General features: G+C 42.0%; 1 long non-coding RNA gene across 1 annotated transcript; it reads left to right on the forward strand.

The window, feature by feature from the left end:
• The first annotated feature begins 1,044 nt into the window (after nt 1-1,044).
• Nucleotides 1,045-2,341, forward strand: LOC124903681 (uncharacterized). Its single transcript, XR_007065053.1, has 2 exons — nt 1,045-1,247; nt 1,333-2,341. It is a non-coding gene; the product is annotated as an uncharacterized LOC124903681 (long non-coding RNA).
• Nucleotides 2,342-17,770: the final 15,429 nt, after the last annotated feature.

Here is a 17,770-nt window from a genome sequence, read left to right on the forward strand (position 1 = left end):
TTCTCAGATGCAACATTCAACTACAAGAGCCCAGTGAAGAAACACGGCACTCCCAAATCTCCTGTAAGTTTTTGTCTTCATTTTGGTTCCACTAATGAAGTGAATCTGGAGCTTCAGAGAAGGGGCTCCCTTCTGTGTCATTGAATCCTTGCTCTGGGTCTCCTTGCAGAGTTCAATAGGTTTAGTAAGGCTAATCAGTTGTTTCAAGAGATGGTGTCAGCAGCATATGGTGTCACTGAAGGAGTATGATAAACCAGGACACAGCCATTTCATGCTGGGCTAGAGAAGCTTGGGGGAAATGATTTGTAAGTCCCAGCAGGAACCTCTTTGCAAGGCAGGGTCTGGGCTGTTGGGGGCACAGACCAGGTGAGTTAGATATCAATATGTAAAGATGAGGACCTATGGATATTAATTGAAAATATATAAATACTTCAAAAAATTCCAATAAATTGAGTCCAAAATTAACCCCAAATTATTCAAAACACAAATTCCTTGACAAATATTTTGGGAGCAATGAGTTCATAAAGAATTTGAAACTACCGTTTCAGCTTCTGATTCTTATGGTTCCTGAGATGAGAAAATCATCTCTAATCACACATCACAGAGCAAATCTGTAAACAAGAGTGTTTCTATTGAAGATCCTGGGGGATCTGAACACCAGGCAGGTGCTGGAGACACTGTTTCAGGAGTGCCCAGCAGATCTCAGAGGGACCTGCTGGTCACTCACGTGGGACATCAGCAGTAACTTCCTCAGTCATCAGTCAGCTGTGCTGGTGACTGATGGATCCAGGACAGAACCAAGGCACCTGCTCAGTGTCATGGAGAGTGATGGTTCCAGAAATTATCCAGGTGGTCTCTGTGCTTATAAAATGTAGGTTCACAGTGAGGAGCGTGTCCTGAGGGGGATTGTTCTTCTGTGAAAGGACCTCTGTTCATGAATGTTCATAAATGGAGCAGGGCATGCATTTCCTCAAACAGGAATAGGGCTTGGACCATCAGCATCTCACTCTTGTAAATCTGATGTGTCATTTATCTTCCCTTTCTTATTATTAACCAGGCTTTGTGCTATGAAATGCTATCTCATGAATATGCAAATAACCTGAGATCCACTGAGGTAAATTTGGATGTCTGTGCCCTGAGAGCATCACCCAACAACCACATCCCTCCTCTATAGAAGCCCCTGAGAACACAGCTCCTCACCATGGACTGTACCTGGGGGATCCGCTTCTTGGTGGCAGCTGCCACAGGTAAGGGGCTCCCAAGTACCAGTGATGAGGAGGGGATTGAGTTCAGTCAAGGGGGCTTTTATCAACTCCTCCATTCTCCTCACAGGTGTCCATTCCCAGGTTCAGCTGTTGCAGCCTGGGGCTGAGGTGAAGAAGCCTGGGTCCTCAGTGAAGGTCTCCTGCCAGGCTTCCAGATACACCTTCACCAAATACTTTACACGGTGGGTGTGACAAAGCCCTGGACAAGGGCATAGTGGATGGGATGAATCAACCCTTACAATGATAACACACACTATGCACAGACGTTCTGGGGCAGAGTCACCATTACCAGTGACAGGTCCATGAGCACAGCCTACATGGAGCTGAGCAGCCTGAGATCTGAAGACATGGTCGTGTATTACTGTGTGAGAGACACAGTGCAAAAACCCACATCCTGAGAGTGTCAGAAACCCCAGGAAGGAGACACCTGTGCTGACACAGAGGAGATGACAAAGATTATTAGATTAAAGATTTGCTTAGAAAATGACATTAAGTCATTAAAGAAAAGGAACAATATTAATGTGTATTTGAGAAATTTTAATTATTTGAGAGATTTTTCATACAACATTTATTCTGTAAACAAATTTCAATGATTAGAGAATGAATCAAATTAATGAAACTAATATAGAACTTCCTCTGAAGGTATCTCTGTAAACATTAATTTCTTAATCAGTGCTGTAAGTATTTTGGAATACAGACACAAAATCACATTTTAAGTCTGCATTTATATCTATTAAAAATGCCAAAAAAATTTCCTTTTGTGCGTGTAGCATTTTGAATTCCCACCATCAATGCACGATAGTTCTTGGTTTTCCACATTCATATTGCCATGTATCCTTATGAGAGTTGTGTGTTTTAACCAATCTAGTAGGTGAATAATGGGATCTAATTTTTATTTAAATGCACATGTCCCTCAAAAAGTTCATATTTAACAATTTTCCAATAACTTTTGTTGAGATGCCTCTCCTGATATTTGGTTCATTTTAACTGCATTGCTTTGTTTTGATTCATTGTAAGTTTACTTGCATATTGTTTATAAAAGTCACTTAACAAATTAAAAGAATTCATTTAACAAATATGTGACTTGGAAGTATTTTTTCCAAGTCTGTGGCTGTCTTTACTCCCTTATCAGTGTGTATTGCAGAAACATACGTGTGTGTGTGCATGTGTCTGTGTGTGTATGTGTGTGTTTGTACAAATTTAGATTCAAAAACATGTAAAATTGTATTCATTCATAGATGATGTTTTTGGCATTATATCTGAAGTCTCATTATAGAATACCAAATAGTGGTTATTTTTTCCATGTGTCTAAGCTCAGGCCACAATCAACTCATGAGTGTTTAAACTTCACCTACTTGATTGGAGGACTATTCACCTCAGATATTTGGAATACTTCTGTAAGGAGATGTGTTCATCTTCCCAATATTTATTTTCATAATCATCTATTAATATGTGTATTGGTTTATGAATATATATTTCATACTCTGAAGAAGATCCATGCTATATTACTCATTTTATCGTTCAAATCACCACAGCTTTATTAGGTCCTGGGAGCTCATTTAGTTTGGATCCTGTATCCTTACAGTGCACCTCATCCTTTTGTTTTTGAACACTTCCCTGTTTCCTTGTATTACAACAAATTCTAAGTTCATTTTCTGTATTACCTCTTTTGTACATAGAATTAGCCATTTCTCTAAAGCTTGCTTGTTTCTAACGTTAACGAATAGCAGTAAAATAAAAAAATTGTGATACCGTGTATAATTACTTCTAGGACCTCTCAACCTACTGGCCTAGCAGACGTGCATGTTTATATGAACCCATGTTTATGGACGCATCAAAACTACTTATGTACCTAATCTTCTGTAACTTTATTATATTAAAAATGAGAACACACTGGTCTCCTGACCCAACTATGCTACCACGTGGACCTTTCTAGCCTTCCTTCCTTGACTGTCCATAACCATCCACTTTAAAGTGAGGAATCCTATCCCACCAATTGCCTTATTATTACCTGGTTGCACAATTTTAGGACACATGCATAGCGGTATCAGAAATGTAAAGCTCATTGGAAATATGTTTATCTACTAGAATAGAGTGCTATGTGTAGTTTCTTTACATTTTAAACATACAGAATTTCCTCATTTTCAAAGTTAATTAGACTAGCAACTTCATTTTCTACTTTCTTCAGTGAAGTCATTTCAATTACACCGTATAATGTCATTTATTTGAAATTCGGTATAAACCAAAACTATAGTCAAGTAAACAGATAGAGGATATTCAAGGAATTTAGAGAATGAGTATTAAATAAGTAAAAATGGCACTGTTTAAGAATAGTAAAATTATTTTTAGTGCTATAAAATGGTTGAGACACGATGCAGTTAATTTGTCTAAGCTCATAATTGTGTGATGGAAAATATAAACCTAAATATATACAATTTTTGTAAAAAGTATTTAGCAGTTCATTAAACCCAGGATTAAATGCAGACTGTATAAAGTTATCTAATAACTTATTTGGTGAGGGTGGGGATATCATGAGATGCATGCAAAAAAGAATGAAGTAATTTTCCTCATTTGCATATAAGATGTTACCATTCACTAAAGACCTTTAATTTAAAAAAATCAATTTTCAACGTGACCCAGGTTTTTTCTTCCTGACAAGCAAATAACCCAGATAATTCTTTTCTTTCCTTGGTTGATAAAGATTTTCCCCAAACTTCAGCTCAGTTCAGGCACACACTGTCCCTGAATGGGCATTTACCCACAGATGGGTACACACACCTGTCAACATGGGGACTCTTCCGTCAGACAAACACACCTTTACTCACGTGGATTCTTCCCTCAGACAAACACATATGTCCCCACATGGACTCTTTCCTCAGACCACCACGTATGTCCTTACATTTACTCTTTCCTCTGGTAATGACATTTCCTCATGTGGACTCTTGTCTCAGACAAACAAACATGTCTGCATGTGAACTCTTCACTCTGATAAGTACACATATTTCCACAGTGACTGTTCCCTGACACAAGCAGATATATCCAATGTTGAACTGTTTTATGGGAAAATGATCTCAAGATAATAATTATAAAATCCCTCCCTGACAAGTTGTAGATCTGCATTTTTTTATTGTACCTTAACTTTGCCTTATTGTCAAGAACAGTAGTTTGTAGCTCTAAATGCACCGATTAGAGATTGGTGTCCGTTTTCTCTGGAAATATATTTTTAAGTTCTTACTGGATGTATTTTTTTGATAATGTTTGCTACTGTGAAGATACCTGAACAGGGTCCACACTAGAAAATAAAAAAGACTAATCAGCAGATTAACCCTGTGCATCCAGACCCACGAGTCCTTTGACCCTGCCCCCCTGAAATGGAGACACAGAGGACGGATGAGCAATGCTGAGCGGTGCACCCAAGACCACAAAAAGAAAGACAAGGAAATGTGTCCCCTCCCCTCCTCATGAAAGGCAGCTCATCCCCTGTTCCTTCAGGCCCTGGCGAGGAGCCAACCCATGTCTCTTCCCTTCCTCAGTGTCCACACCGTGGGGTCTGCACTGATTTGGGCTTCCCTTCTCATCACCCTCAATATTAGTGTCCCTTGTGAATCAGGTCCAGGTGCGGCTGCTCCACATGGGGCCGTTCTTCCATTTCCTCAGTGTTTGCAGAAGTCCTGTGTGAAATTTATTGATGGAGTCAGAGGGGGAAAAATTGTACACCCAGTGGCTCACTGAGACTCTCATGCAAAGCCTCTGATTTCACCTTTACTGGCTACAGCAATGAGCTTGGTCCAGCCAGCTTCACGACAGGGATTTGTGTAGGTGGAAACAGTGAGTGATCAAGTGGGAGTTCTCAGAGTTACTCTCCATAAGCACAAATAAATTAACAGTCCCAAGTGACACCTTTTAATGTGCAGTCTACCTTAAAGGGACCAAACTGAAAGTCAAGGACAAGGCCTTGTAATACTGTGAGAGACACAGGAGAGGGAATATCTGTGTGAGCCCCAACAGAAAAATCTCTGCAGGAAGACAGGAGGGAGCTGCATGGTAGATGCTCCTCAGAACCACCAGGGCGCCTTGAGGACAACCTGGGGGCACTCAGAACCACCAGGGTGTGCTTAGGACCATGGGGTGCTCAGGATATTAGGGGGTGCTCAGGATCATGAGGGGGTGCTCATGACACCAGGGGGCACTCAGAATCACAAGGGAGCACTCAGGACACGAGGGTTTGCCCAGGACCACCAGCAGGCACTCAGGTCACCAGGGGGTGTTCAGGACCACCAGGGGGCGCTCAGGACACCAGGGGGCGCTCAGAACCACCAGGGGGTGCTCAGGACACCAAGGGGGGCGCTCAGGACACCTGGGGGCGCTCAGAAGCATCAGGGGTGCTCAGGATATCACAGTGCCCTCAGTACCACGAGGGGGCGCTCATGACACCAGGGGCACTCAGAACCACCAGGGGGTGCTCAGTACACGGGGGTTCTCAGGAAGCAGCTCCAAATCAGGAGCCTGAGAAGCTGTGGTTTTCTTTTAAACCTTGGTGATTCCCGACCTGGTCAAGCAAAAGTCTTCCCCAGGATCTCTCACCATTTCTTCCTTGTAAATCCACGATTACTTTTACCTACAAAACATTAACTTAGAACAGGAATTTAATTCAATTTTTAATGCTGCATATTTTCCAAGTAATACTAGCAATGATCTCTCAGGACAATTTTTAAAATAGGTTATTTATATATTCTCTTGATTAAAAATAATACTATTATTAAAATAGTAAAATTATAAAAATCACACCTGTAATCCCAGAACTTTGGGAGGATAAGGCAGGCAGATCACTTGAGCTCAGGACTTTTAGAACAGCCTGGCAGCACAGTGAGGTCTTTTCTATACAAAAATAATAATAATAAATACCTGGGTATGGTTCCACCTGTGGTAGCAGCTACTTGAAAGGCTGAGGTGGGAGGATCCCTTAAGCCTGGGAGGTTAATACTGCAGTGAGCTGTGATTGTGCCACTGCACTCCAGTCTCGTTGACAGAGTGAGACCCTATTTAAAGAAAATGTATATCCTCAATATAAACTGTTTCAATGATTAGAGTTTTGTATTTTTGTGCTGTAATAGTCAAACAATTGTACATGTTTTTTAACATTAACTCAGCGTATACATGGTATTTTGTTTCTTTTTCTTTCATCTGCTGTTTTTGGAAATTAAACAAGACTTTAAATGCTCTTGTTCTCCATTTTGGTTGGCTTCAGGTGTCCTGTTTTTCAGACTGTTTCTCCATCTTCCCTTTTTCTTTGAAAGTATTTTACATTCCTCAGTCTCCATGAAGGAAAAAGAAAGTCACTTTACTTTCTGACCTCCAAGTCTGGTGAATCAGTTCCCTTGTCTTCATAATCACTGAAGCCAACCAAGTTTAGAGGATAATGGTTCTCCTTAGAATATGCTCATCTACCTGCAGACTCTGCCCTACTCACCCTTTTCCAGGGTCCTGCAGACCATCCCCTCATTTCCCTAAGTACCACAGAGTGGGCTCTGCAGCTCCTGCTGCCCTCTGTGTGTTCAGCCCTGGGGCTCACTATGTTTTGATGATGAAGTCCAAATCCCCATGTGCTTGGACCCTCTGAGACCACCCTCTAGGAAGATGCCATTGTGAGTGAGCCCTGAAAATCATGGGCTGTGTTCAGTTTCATTATCCTGGATGTTCTCTATCATAAAGGAATATTGACAAATAAATACTAGAGTTTGTATTGAATATTCATGCCAAAAAAGTTTTTTTAAAATTTTTCAAATGAAACAATTTTATCTTTCCTGGTTTGAAAACTACAATCTAAATTTAACAAATAATGTAATACAATGTTTGTCTTATTAGTTATTCAATTTATTAAAAACAGACTGATATTTAAAGTTAATACCATTGCACATTTGAGTGACATATTTGGCAAGAACAGCATTTACATTCAGCTTTAACAAAACATGTATTTAAATATATTTGTCTTTTTAGTATTGGAATAGGCAGACATACACGTAGAAGAGCATTATTTTCTACTACAACCTCAAACTGCAAACACAGTTTAAATTCAATTAAGTAATTAAAAAATATGAAACAAATAGGTGTGCTATTTTGGTGTTTAGATATACATTCACTTTTGCATGGGCATATGTATGTGTCTTTGCTGGGCTGTTGTGTATGTATGTGTGTTTGTAGAACCATGAAGTTTTCAAATACATCATTAAATGACATATTAATCTTGGCCAGGCATGGTGGCTCAGGCCTGTAATCCCAGCACTTTGGGAGTCATAGGCAGGCAGATCACCTGAGGTCAAGGGTTCAAGACCAGCCTGGCCAACATGGTAAAACCCCGTCTCTACTAAAAATACAAAAAATAGCCAGGTATTGTGGCAAGTGCCTTTAGTCCCAGTGTGACAGGGAAATGTGGGGTCAGAAATCCCACACAGAGTTTCTACTGGTGTACCACCTAGTGGAGCTGTAAGAAGAAAGCCACTGCCCTCCAGAACCCAGAATGGTAGATCCACTGACAGCTTGCACCATATTTCTGGAAAAACCACATACACTCAATGCCAGCTCGTGAAAGCAGCCAGGAGGGAGACTGTGCCCTGCAAAAGTTTTTTAAAACTTTTCATGTGAAAAGTTTTTAAAAAGTTCTGCCACAGGGGCAGAACTGCCAAAGACCATGGGAACCCACCTGTTACATCAGGTAACCTGGATTTGAGACATGGAGTCAAAGAAGATTATTCTGGAACATGAAGATTTGACTGCCCAGCTGGATTTCAGACTTGCATGGGGCCTGTAGTTTGGACCAATTTCTCCATTTGGAATGGCTGTATTTACACAATGCCTGAACTCCTATTCTTTCTAGGAAGTAACTGACTTCGTTTTTATTTTACAGGCTCATATGGAAGAGACTTGCCTCATCTCAAATGAGACCTTGGACTGTGGACTTTTGAGTTAAGGCTCAAATGAGTTAAGACTTTGGCAGACTCTTGAACAGGCATGATTGGTTTTGAAATGCGACAGCAATCATGACTCTAGAGGACCACATGTGAAATGCAACAAGCAGGAGCAGAAGACAAGTAATTCATGATTTCACTGTAGGGCATTAAAATGGTAGACTCACAGAAGCAGAATAGAATGTTGGTTACCAGGGGCTGGAGGGGTGGACTGGAAAAGGAGAGATTTTGGTCAAAGTGTAAAATGTTCCAGTTAGACAGAAGGAGTAAGTTGCAGTGTTCTAATGCACAAGATGGAAAATATGGCTATGAATGCATTGTATATTTCAAAATGGCTAAAAATGTAAATGTTAAAATTTTTCCCACTAAGAAATTATACAGGTCGGGAGTGGGGGCTCACACCTCTAATCCCAGCACTTTTGGAGGCCGAGGTGGGTGGATCACAAGGTCAGGAGTTCAAGACCAGACTGGCCAAAATGGTGAAACCCTGTCTCCACTAAAAACACAAAAGTTAGCCAGGCGTGGTGTTGGGCGCCTGTAATCCCAGCTACTCGGGAGGCTGAGGCAGGAGAATTGTTTGAACCTGGGAAGCAAAGGCTGCAGTGACCGAGATCGCACCACTGCACTCCAGCCTGGGCGACAGAGTGAGACTCAGTCTCAAAAAAAAAAAAAAAGAAATTACACATTTATGAGGTGATGGATATATTAAATAGCTTGATTAACAATTCCATGATGTATACATGTATCATAGCACGTGTGAAGCGACCTACCTGTATGAAGGTGAGGTGACCTGGTCACGTGACAGTGAGGTGACCTGGGGGATGTGTAAGGTTACCTGGGGGTATGTGTGAGGTGAACTTGGGCTCATGTGAGGTGACCCAGGGTGCATGTGTGGTGGCCTGGGTGCGTGTGAGGTTACCTAGACATGCATGAGGTGACACGGGGAACTCATGAGGTGACTTGGGCATGTATGATGTGACCTAAGGCATGTGTGAGGTGACCTGGGGGACGTGTGAGGTGACCTGTGGGACGTGGGAGGTGACCTGGGGGATGCGTGAGGTGACCTGGGGGATGTGTGAGGTGACCTGTGGGAATGTGTGAGGTGACCTGTGGGACGTGTGAGGTGACCTGTGGTTCGTGTAAGGTGATGTGGGGAATGTGTGAGGTGACCTGTGGGACGTGTGAGGTGACCTGTAGGACGTGTGAGGTGACCTGGGGGATGTGTGAGGTGACCTGGGGGACATGTGAGGTGACCTGTGGGACGTGTGAGGTGACGTGGCGGATGTGTGAGGTGACGTGGGGAATGTGTGAGGTGACCTGGGGGACGTGTGAGGTGACGTGGGGAACGTGTGAGGTGACCTGGGGGACGTGTGAGGTGACCTGGGGGATGTGTGAGGTGACCTGTGGGACGTGTGAGGTGACCTGGGGAATGTGTGAGGTGACCTGGGGGATGTGTGAGGTGACCTGTAGGACGTGTGAGGTGACCTGGGGGATGTGTGAGGTGACCTGTGGGACGTGTGAGGTGACCTGGGGAATGTGTGAGGTGACCTGTGGCACGTGTGAGGTGACCTGTAGGACATGTGAGGTGACCTGGGGGATGTGTGAGGTGACCTGGGGGACGTGTGAGGTGACGTGGCGGATGTGTGAGGTGACGTGGGGAATGTGTGAGGTGACCTGGGGGACATGTGACGTGACATGGGGAATGTGTGAGGTGACCTGTGGGACATGTGAGGTGACCTGGGGAATGTGTGAGGTGATGTGGGTGCGTTTGAGATGACGTGGGGGATGTGTGAGCTTAGCAGGAGTGTGTGTGAGGTGACATGGGGAATATGTGAGGTGACCTGCCTGATGTGTGAGGTGACCTGAGCACATGTAAGGTCACCTAAGGCGCATCTGAGGTGACATGGGGGACGTGTGAGGTGACCTGGGGAACGTGTGAGGTGACCTGTGGGACATGTGAAGTGACCTGGGGAATGTGTGAGGTGACCTGTGGGACATGTGAGGTGACCTGGGGAATGTGTGAGGTGATGTGGGTGCGTTTGAGGTGACGTGGGGGATGTGTGAGCTTAGCAGGAGTGTGTGTGAGGTAACATGGGGAATATGTGAGGTGACCTGCCTGATGTGTGAGGTGACCTGAGCACATGTGAGGTCACCTAAGGCGCATCTGAGGTGACATGGAGGATGTGCGAGGTGACCTTGGGTGAGTGTGAGGTTACCTGTGGGATGTGTGAGGTGAATTGGGACTTGTGTGAGGTTACCTGGGAAATGTTTGAGGTGACCTGCGGGATGTGTAAGGTGACATTGGGGATGTGTGAGGTGACTCAGGGCACATGTGAGGTGACCTTGGGGATGTGCAAGGTCACACTGTGTGAGTGTGAGGTCATGTGGGATATTTCAAACTTTGTAAGGAAAGCCTGCAACAATATATGGCTCTAGAAGCTTCACACTCCAACACTGTTAATGCGCACATCCTCAAGGAACTCTAAATGTTTCCAGGTTAGCTTAAATGCCATGGAGTGACACCTGCCCCAGGTACACTCATATATGCATCCTGGGTCTCCCTATCAACCCCTATCCTCAAATTTTCAGTTCATGTTTGCTCCATGATATCAACTCTGATATGCTGAGGTTTTTTTTTTTTTATCTGTAGTTGTTCAGGTTTGCTGTTTCACTCTCATTACTCTGGGCTCAGTCCTCTCCTCAGGTGTCCCACTTCAGAGCTTGCTATGTAATAGGAGACATGCAAATAGGACCCTCCCTTTTCTGATGAAAAGCAGCCCAGCCCTGACCCTGCAGCCGTGGGAGAGAAGCCCCAGCCCTGGGATTCTCAGGTGTTTCTATTGGGTCAACAGCAATAAACAAATTACCATGGAATTTGGGCTGAGCTGGGTCTTTCTTGCTGCTATTTTAAAAGGTAATTCATGGAGAACTAAGGATATTGAGTGTGAGGGGACATGAGTGACAGAACAGTGGCTATGTGTGGCAGTTTCTGACCAGGATGTCTCTGTGTTTGCAGGTGTGCAGTGTGAGGTGCAGCTGGTGGAGTCTGGGGGAGGCTTGGTCCAGCCTGGGGGGTCCCTGAGACTCTCCTGTGCAGCCTCTGGATTCACCTTCAGTAACAGTGACATGAACTGGGTCCTCTAGGCTCCAGGAAAGGGGCTGGAGTGGGTCTCGGGTATTAGTTGGAATGGCGGTAAGACGCACTATGTGGACTCCGTGAAGGGCCAATTTACCATCTCCAGAGACAATTCCAGCAAGTCCCTGTATCTGCAAAAGAACAGACAGAGAGCCAAGGACATGGCCGTGTATTACTGTGTGAGAAATCCTGTGAGGGGACACAAGTGTGAGCCCAGACACAAACCTCCTGCAGGAACGTTGGGGGAAATCACTGCAGGGGACGCTCAGGACCCATTCATCAGAGTCAACCCCAGAGCAGGTTCACATGGAGGCTGGGGTTTGTTTCCTGTCAGGATTTGGGACTTCCTCTGCTTCTGACAGTTTCTCTAGGGAAACTCTTTAATTTTAAATTTCTGTGCCCACCAATGTCATCTCTACATATATTTTTATAATCATTGTAATATGAGGACTCATTCTCACGTGCACAGTATGTACATTGCCACCTACCGGAATGAGAACTCCTCAACCATGGGCACCAGCATCAGAGTCGTGAGGAAGCTCAGGGGTGCCCGGTGAGTCTTCTCCAGTCAGACTCAGGACAGGAACTTCAATGGGATTCCCTGACTAGAATGGCTTTTAGGGATTTTGATTACAGCCAAGAGAGAGGCTGGACCAGGTTCAGTGTCATGTAGGACCTCACAGGTTTTATGTATGACATTTCTCCTGAAAATATTCAAATGAGTATCAGCACTGATCTGGTGCTTTCTGACTTTCATTTTTAGTGGTTCTCGCTTTTCCATTTGCTTTTCCTGCTTTCTGGAAAAAAGGATGTTGTCCCTGTGGTCTAAATCCTGGGACTCAAGCCCTTTCCCTGGAGCTTAGGTGGGGCTCAGGCTGTGACTCCTGCAGCCATTGGGAGAGGCTGCTGAGACTTTCTTCTCTCTCATTATTCAGGACACTCCACTCTGTTTTCTGGAGACGCATCTGGGAATGCATGTGGCCATTAGGAATGAGGGCATAAGCTTCTTTGGTCAAAATGGGGTGAGGATGTGGAATTGATCCTGTGCTGTGTAAACTGTCACAGAGTCACCTTCTTCACCGGTAGTGTTAGAAGAGCCTGTAAAAGTTGTCGGAATCCAACTGGAGTCCCTTGTGTTCAAACCCTGACAAATGGAGCTGGGGAAGGCCATTTATGGAAGATTCTCATGCACATACCCCTGAGAACAAGACCTAGCTTTATAACACTCCAAAAAACCACAAATTGAACAAAGGCAACCACAACAATAAAAGAATTACTTATATCCCTAAGAACAACAGCTAGCTTTATAACACTCAGAATAGCCACAACTGTGCACAAAGGCAACCACAACAACAAAATAATTACTTATATCCCTAACAACAAGAGCTAGTTTTATAACACTCAGAAAAGCCACAACCTTGCACAAAGGCAACCACAACAATAAAAGAATTATTTCTGTGAAAATATCTGCACAGCAACTGCCTGTCCAACCTTACACTGATGTCAACCTTGTTATTGATGCTTCTAGCCTGGGATCATTCTCATCAAAATGTCATTCAGATGCTGCGTATGACAAAAATTGTGTTTTTCAGTGCAGTCATGTTCTAGTAAAGCCCTCAGAGACCCTCTCCTTCACCTGTGCCGCCTCTGGATTTCTGATCATAACCAGTACTTCCTCCTGGAGCTGGATCTGCCAGCCCCCAGGGAAGGAGCTGAAGTGGGTCAGGTGTGTAGGTCATGAGGAAGCACACAGTACCACCCGCTTCTCAAGAGTCCAGTCACCACCTCCAGATACACATTCAGAAAGCAGTTTTTCCTACAGCTGAGCTACATGTGCAATGAGTACACCACCATGGATTTTTATACAAAAGACACAGAGGGGGAAGTCATTGTGAGGCCAGACACAAACCTCCCTGCAGGGAAGCTCAGGACACCAGGGGGTGCTCAGGTCACCAAGGGGCGCTCAGGACACATTAAGGCAGGTGCAAGAGGGGAAAAAAGGTGCTGGAGGTGGGGTTTTTCATCACTGACATATTTTACTCTCCACCATATTTATTCTAATGTATATTATTGTATTATTAGACAATGATATTTATATAAATATATAGCCATACGTAGGTGCACCAAGTTGTCCTCTCCATCTAATGTGGACCTTGTCCTTCAGGACTAAGTCCTTGTATATATTTGAGCACCTCATAAATTATGGTCAGTTATGTAGGATCTCTCACTTGTTCTGTGTCCCTTCCTCCCTCCTCTCTCACACACAAACTGACACACACAAAGAGTTCTACAACTTTAATTACCTGATGTGTTGAAGAAAATGTATTGAAGTGCAGCTTTTTCAGTTTAACTGCTGTTCACGTTGATGTAGGAATAAGAACATTGTCTTTCTCAACTGTGTAGTTCTCTAAGCTGAGTAGCACCTTTCTTTACAATACCCAGATACTGAAAGCAATCCAAATATTGATCAGCAGGTTAAGCAGTAAACACTTTGTTCTAAATTCATTCACTTGAATAATACCCACTGTTCAAACAAGTACTGCTGGAAATGAGCAACAAGGGTAAATTCACAAGTACTTATGACGAGTAACATAAACCAAAGAAATACAAGTACATACATACAGTTCCACTTTTATAAATTCTATAAAATGAAAACTAATCTAAAGTTACATAATGAAAACCAGTAGTTGGCCGTGGTCATGGTATGAGAAGGGAAGGTGTAGGAAGTGGAAATTACAGGACAATGAGAGGAAATTTTGAGGATAATTTTTTCTGTATTGAGAAAAGTTATGGTTATGTCATTATTTGTTAAATGGTACACATTAAGGGAAGATTGTTACTTTCTAATTTCAACTTATTAAAATACTACAAATTTAAACATATATAATGTGGTAGAAAAGAATTTAGAGATGGGTAAAATATATGAGAAATAAAAAAGAAAATCTCAGAACGATGGCATAAGGACTTCAATCATCAAACTAAAGAAATTTTAAATTTCTCAACACAGAATTAAAGATTCATAAAACCAGCTCCTGGATCATTGATTTTTTGGAGCTGATTTTCATGTCTTTATCTCCTTCAGTTCTGCTCTGATCTTAGTTATTTCTTCTCTTCTTCTAGCTTTTGAATTTGCTCTTGCTTCTCTAGTTCTTTTAATTTTGATGTTAGGGTGTCAGTTTTAGATCTTTCCTGCTTTCTCTTGTAGGCACCTAGTGCTATAAATTTCCCTCTACACACTGCTTTAAATGTGTCCCGGAGATTCTCATATGTTGTGTCTTTGTTCTCATTGGTTTCAAAGATCATCTTTATTTCTGCCTTCATTTCTTTATTTACCCAGTAGACACTCAGGAACAGGTTTTTCAGTTTCCATGTAGTTGTGCAGTTTTGAGTGAATTTCTTCATCCTGAGTTCTAATTTGATTATTGCACTGTGGTCTTAGAGACTGTTTGTTATGATTTCTGTTCTTTTGCATTTGGCGAGGAGTGTATTACTTCCAATTATGTGGTCAGTTTTAGAATATGTGCGATGAGGTGCTGAGAAGAATGTATATTCTGTTGACTTGGGGTGGAGAGTTCTGTAGATATCTATTAGGTCTGCTTCGTCCAGAGCTGACTTCAAGTCCTAAATATCCTTGTTAATTTTCTGTCTCATCGATCTGTCTAATATTGACAGCGGGGAGTTAAAGTCTCCCACTCTTGTTGTGTGGGAGTCTAAGTCTCTTTGTAGGTCTCTAAGGATTTCCTTTATGAATCTGGGTGCTCCTGTATTTGGTGCATATATATTTAGGATATTTAGCTCTTCTTGTTGCATTGATCCCTTTACCATTATGCAGTGCCCTTCTTTGTCTCTTTTGATCTTTTTTGGTTTAAAATGTTTTATCAGAGATTAGGATTGCAACTCCTGCTTTTGTTTTCTTTCTTTCTTTTTTTTTTTTTTGCTTTCCATTTGCTTGGTAAATATTCCTCCATCCCTTTATTTTGAGCCTATGTGTGTCTTTGCACATGAGATGGGTCTCCTGAATACAGCACATCAACAAAATAGATAGACAGTTAGCCATATTAATAAAGAAGAAAAGAGAGAAGAATCAAATAGATGCAATAAAATGTAATATAGGGGATATCACTACTGATCCCACCGAAATACAAACTACCATCAGAGAATACTATAAAAACCTCTATGCAAATACACTAGAAAATCTAGAAGAAATGGATAAATGCCTGGACACATACACCGTCCCAAGTCTAAAGCAGGAAGAAGTCGAATCCCTGAATAGAACAATAACAAATTCTGAAATTGAGGCAGTAATTAATAGCATACCAACCAAAAAAAGTCCAGGACCAGATGGATTCACAGCCAAATTCTACCAGAGGTACAAAGAGGAACTGTTACCATTCCTTCTGAAACTATTTCAAACAATAGAAAAAGAGGGACTCCTCTCTAACTCTTTTTATGAAGCCAGCATCATCCTGATACCAAAACCTGGCAGAGACATAACAAAAAAAAAAAAGTTCAGGCCAATATCCCTGATGAACATCAATGCACCAATTCTCAATAAAATACTGGCAAACTGAATCCAGCAGCACATCAAAAAGCTTATCCACCACGATCAAGTCGGCTTCATCCCTGGGATGCAAGGCTGTTTCAACATATGCAAATCAATAAATGTAATCCATCACATAAACAGAACCAATGACAGAAACCACATGATTATCTCAATAGATGCAGAAAAGGACTTCAACAAAATTCAACACCCCTTCATGCTAAAAACTCAATACTCTAGGTATCCATGGAATGTATCTCAAAATAATAAAAGCTATTTATGGCAAACCCACAGCCAATATCATATGGAATGGGCAAAAACTGGAAGCATTTACTTTGAAAACCAGCACAAGACAACGATGCCTCTCTCACCACTCCAATTCAACATAGTATTGAGAGATCTGGCCAGGGTAATCAGGCAAGAGAAAGAAATAAATTGTATAAAAATAGGAAAAGAGGAAGTCAGATTGTCTCTGCGTGCAGATGACACGATTGTATATTTAGAAAACCCCATCGTCTCAGCCCAAAATCTCCTTAAGCTGATAAGCAACTTCAGCAAAGTCTCAGGATACAAAATCAATGTGCAAAAATCACAAGCATTTCTATAACCCAATAAAAGAAGAACAGAGAGCCAAATCAATCATGAGTGAACTCCCACTCAAAATTGCTACAAAGAAAATAAAATACCTAGGAATACAACTTACAAGGGATGTGAAGGATCTCTTCAGGGAGAACTACAAACCACTGCTCAAGGAAATAAGAGAGGACCCAAACAAATGGAAAAACATTCCATGCTCATGAATAAGAAGAATAAATATCATGAAAATGGCCATATTGCCCAAAGCAATTTATAGATTGAATGCTGTCCCCATCAAACTACCAATGACTTTCTTCACAGAATTGGAAAAAACTATTTTAAAGTTCATATGGAACCAAAAAAAATCCTGCATAGCCATGACAATCCTAAGCAAAAAAAAAAAAAAAAAAAAACAAAGCTGGAGGCATCATGCTACCTGACTTCAAACTATACTACAAGGCTACAGTAACTGAAACAGCATGGTACTGGTACCAAAACAGATATATACACCAATGGAACAGAGCAGAGGCCTCCCAAATAACACCACACATCTACAACCATCTGATCTTTGACAATCTTGACACAAACAAACAATGGGGAAAGAATTCCGGAACTATTTAATAAGTGGTGTTGGGAAAACTGGCAAGCCATATACAAAAAACTGAAACTGGACCCCCTTCCTTACAGCTTATACAAAAATTAACTCAAGATGGATGAAAGACTTATCAAGACCTGAAACCATAAAAATCCTAGAAGAAAATCTAGGCAATACCATTCAGGACATAGGCATGGGCAAAGACTTCAAGTCTAAAACACCAAAAGCAATGGCAACAAAAGCTAATACTGATAAATGAGATATAATTAAAGTAAAGTGCTTCTGCACAGCAAAAGAAACTATCATCAGAGTGAACAGGCAACCTACAGAATGGGAGAAAATTTTTGCAATCTATCCATCTGACAAAGGGCTAACATCCAGAATCTACAACAAATTTACAAGAAAAAAAAACCCATCAAAAAGTAGGTGAAGGATACGAACAGACATTTCTCGAAAGAAGACATTTATGCAGCCAAAAAAACATGAAAAAATCCTCCTCATCACTGGTCATTAGAGAAATGCAAATCAAAACCACAGTGAGATACCATCTCACACCAGTTAGAATGGTGACCATTAAATAGGAAACAACAAATGCTGGAGAGGATGTGGAGAAATAGTAACATTTTTACACTGTTGGTGGGAGTGTAAATAAGTTCATCCATTGTGGAAGACAGTGTGGCGATTCCTCAAGGA

The sequence above is a fragment of the Homo sapiens genome, chromosome 16 (assembly GCF_000001405.40).
Source record: "Homo sapiens chromosome 16, GRCh38.p14 Primary Assembly".
NCBI classification, from domain to species: domain Eukaryota; kingdom Metazoa; phylum Chordata; class Mammalia; order Primates; family Hominidae; genus Homo; species Homo sapiens.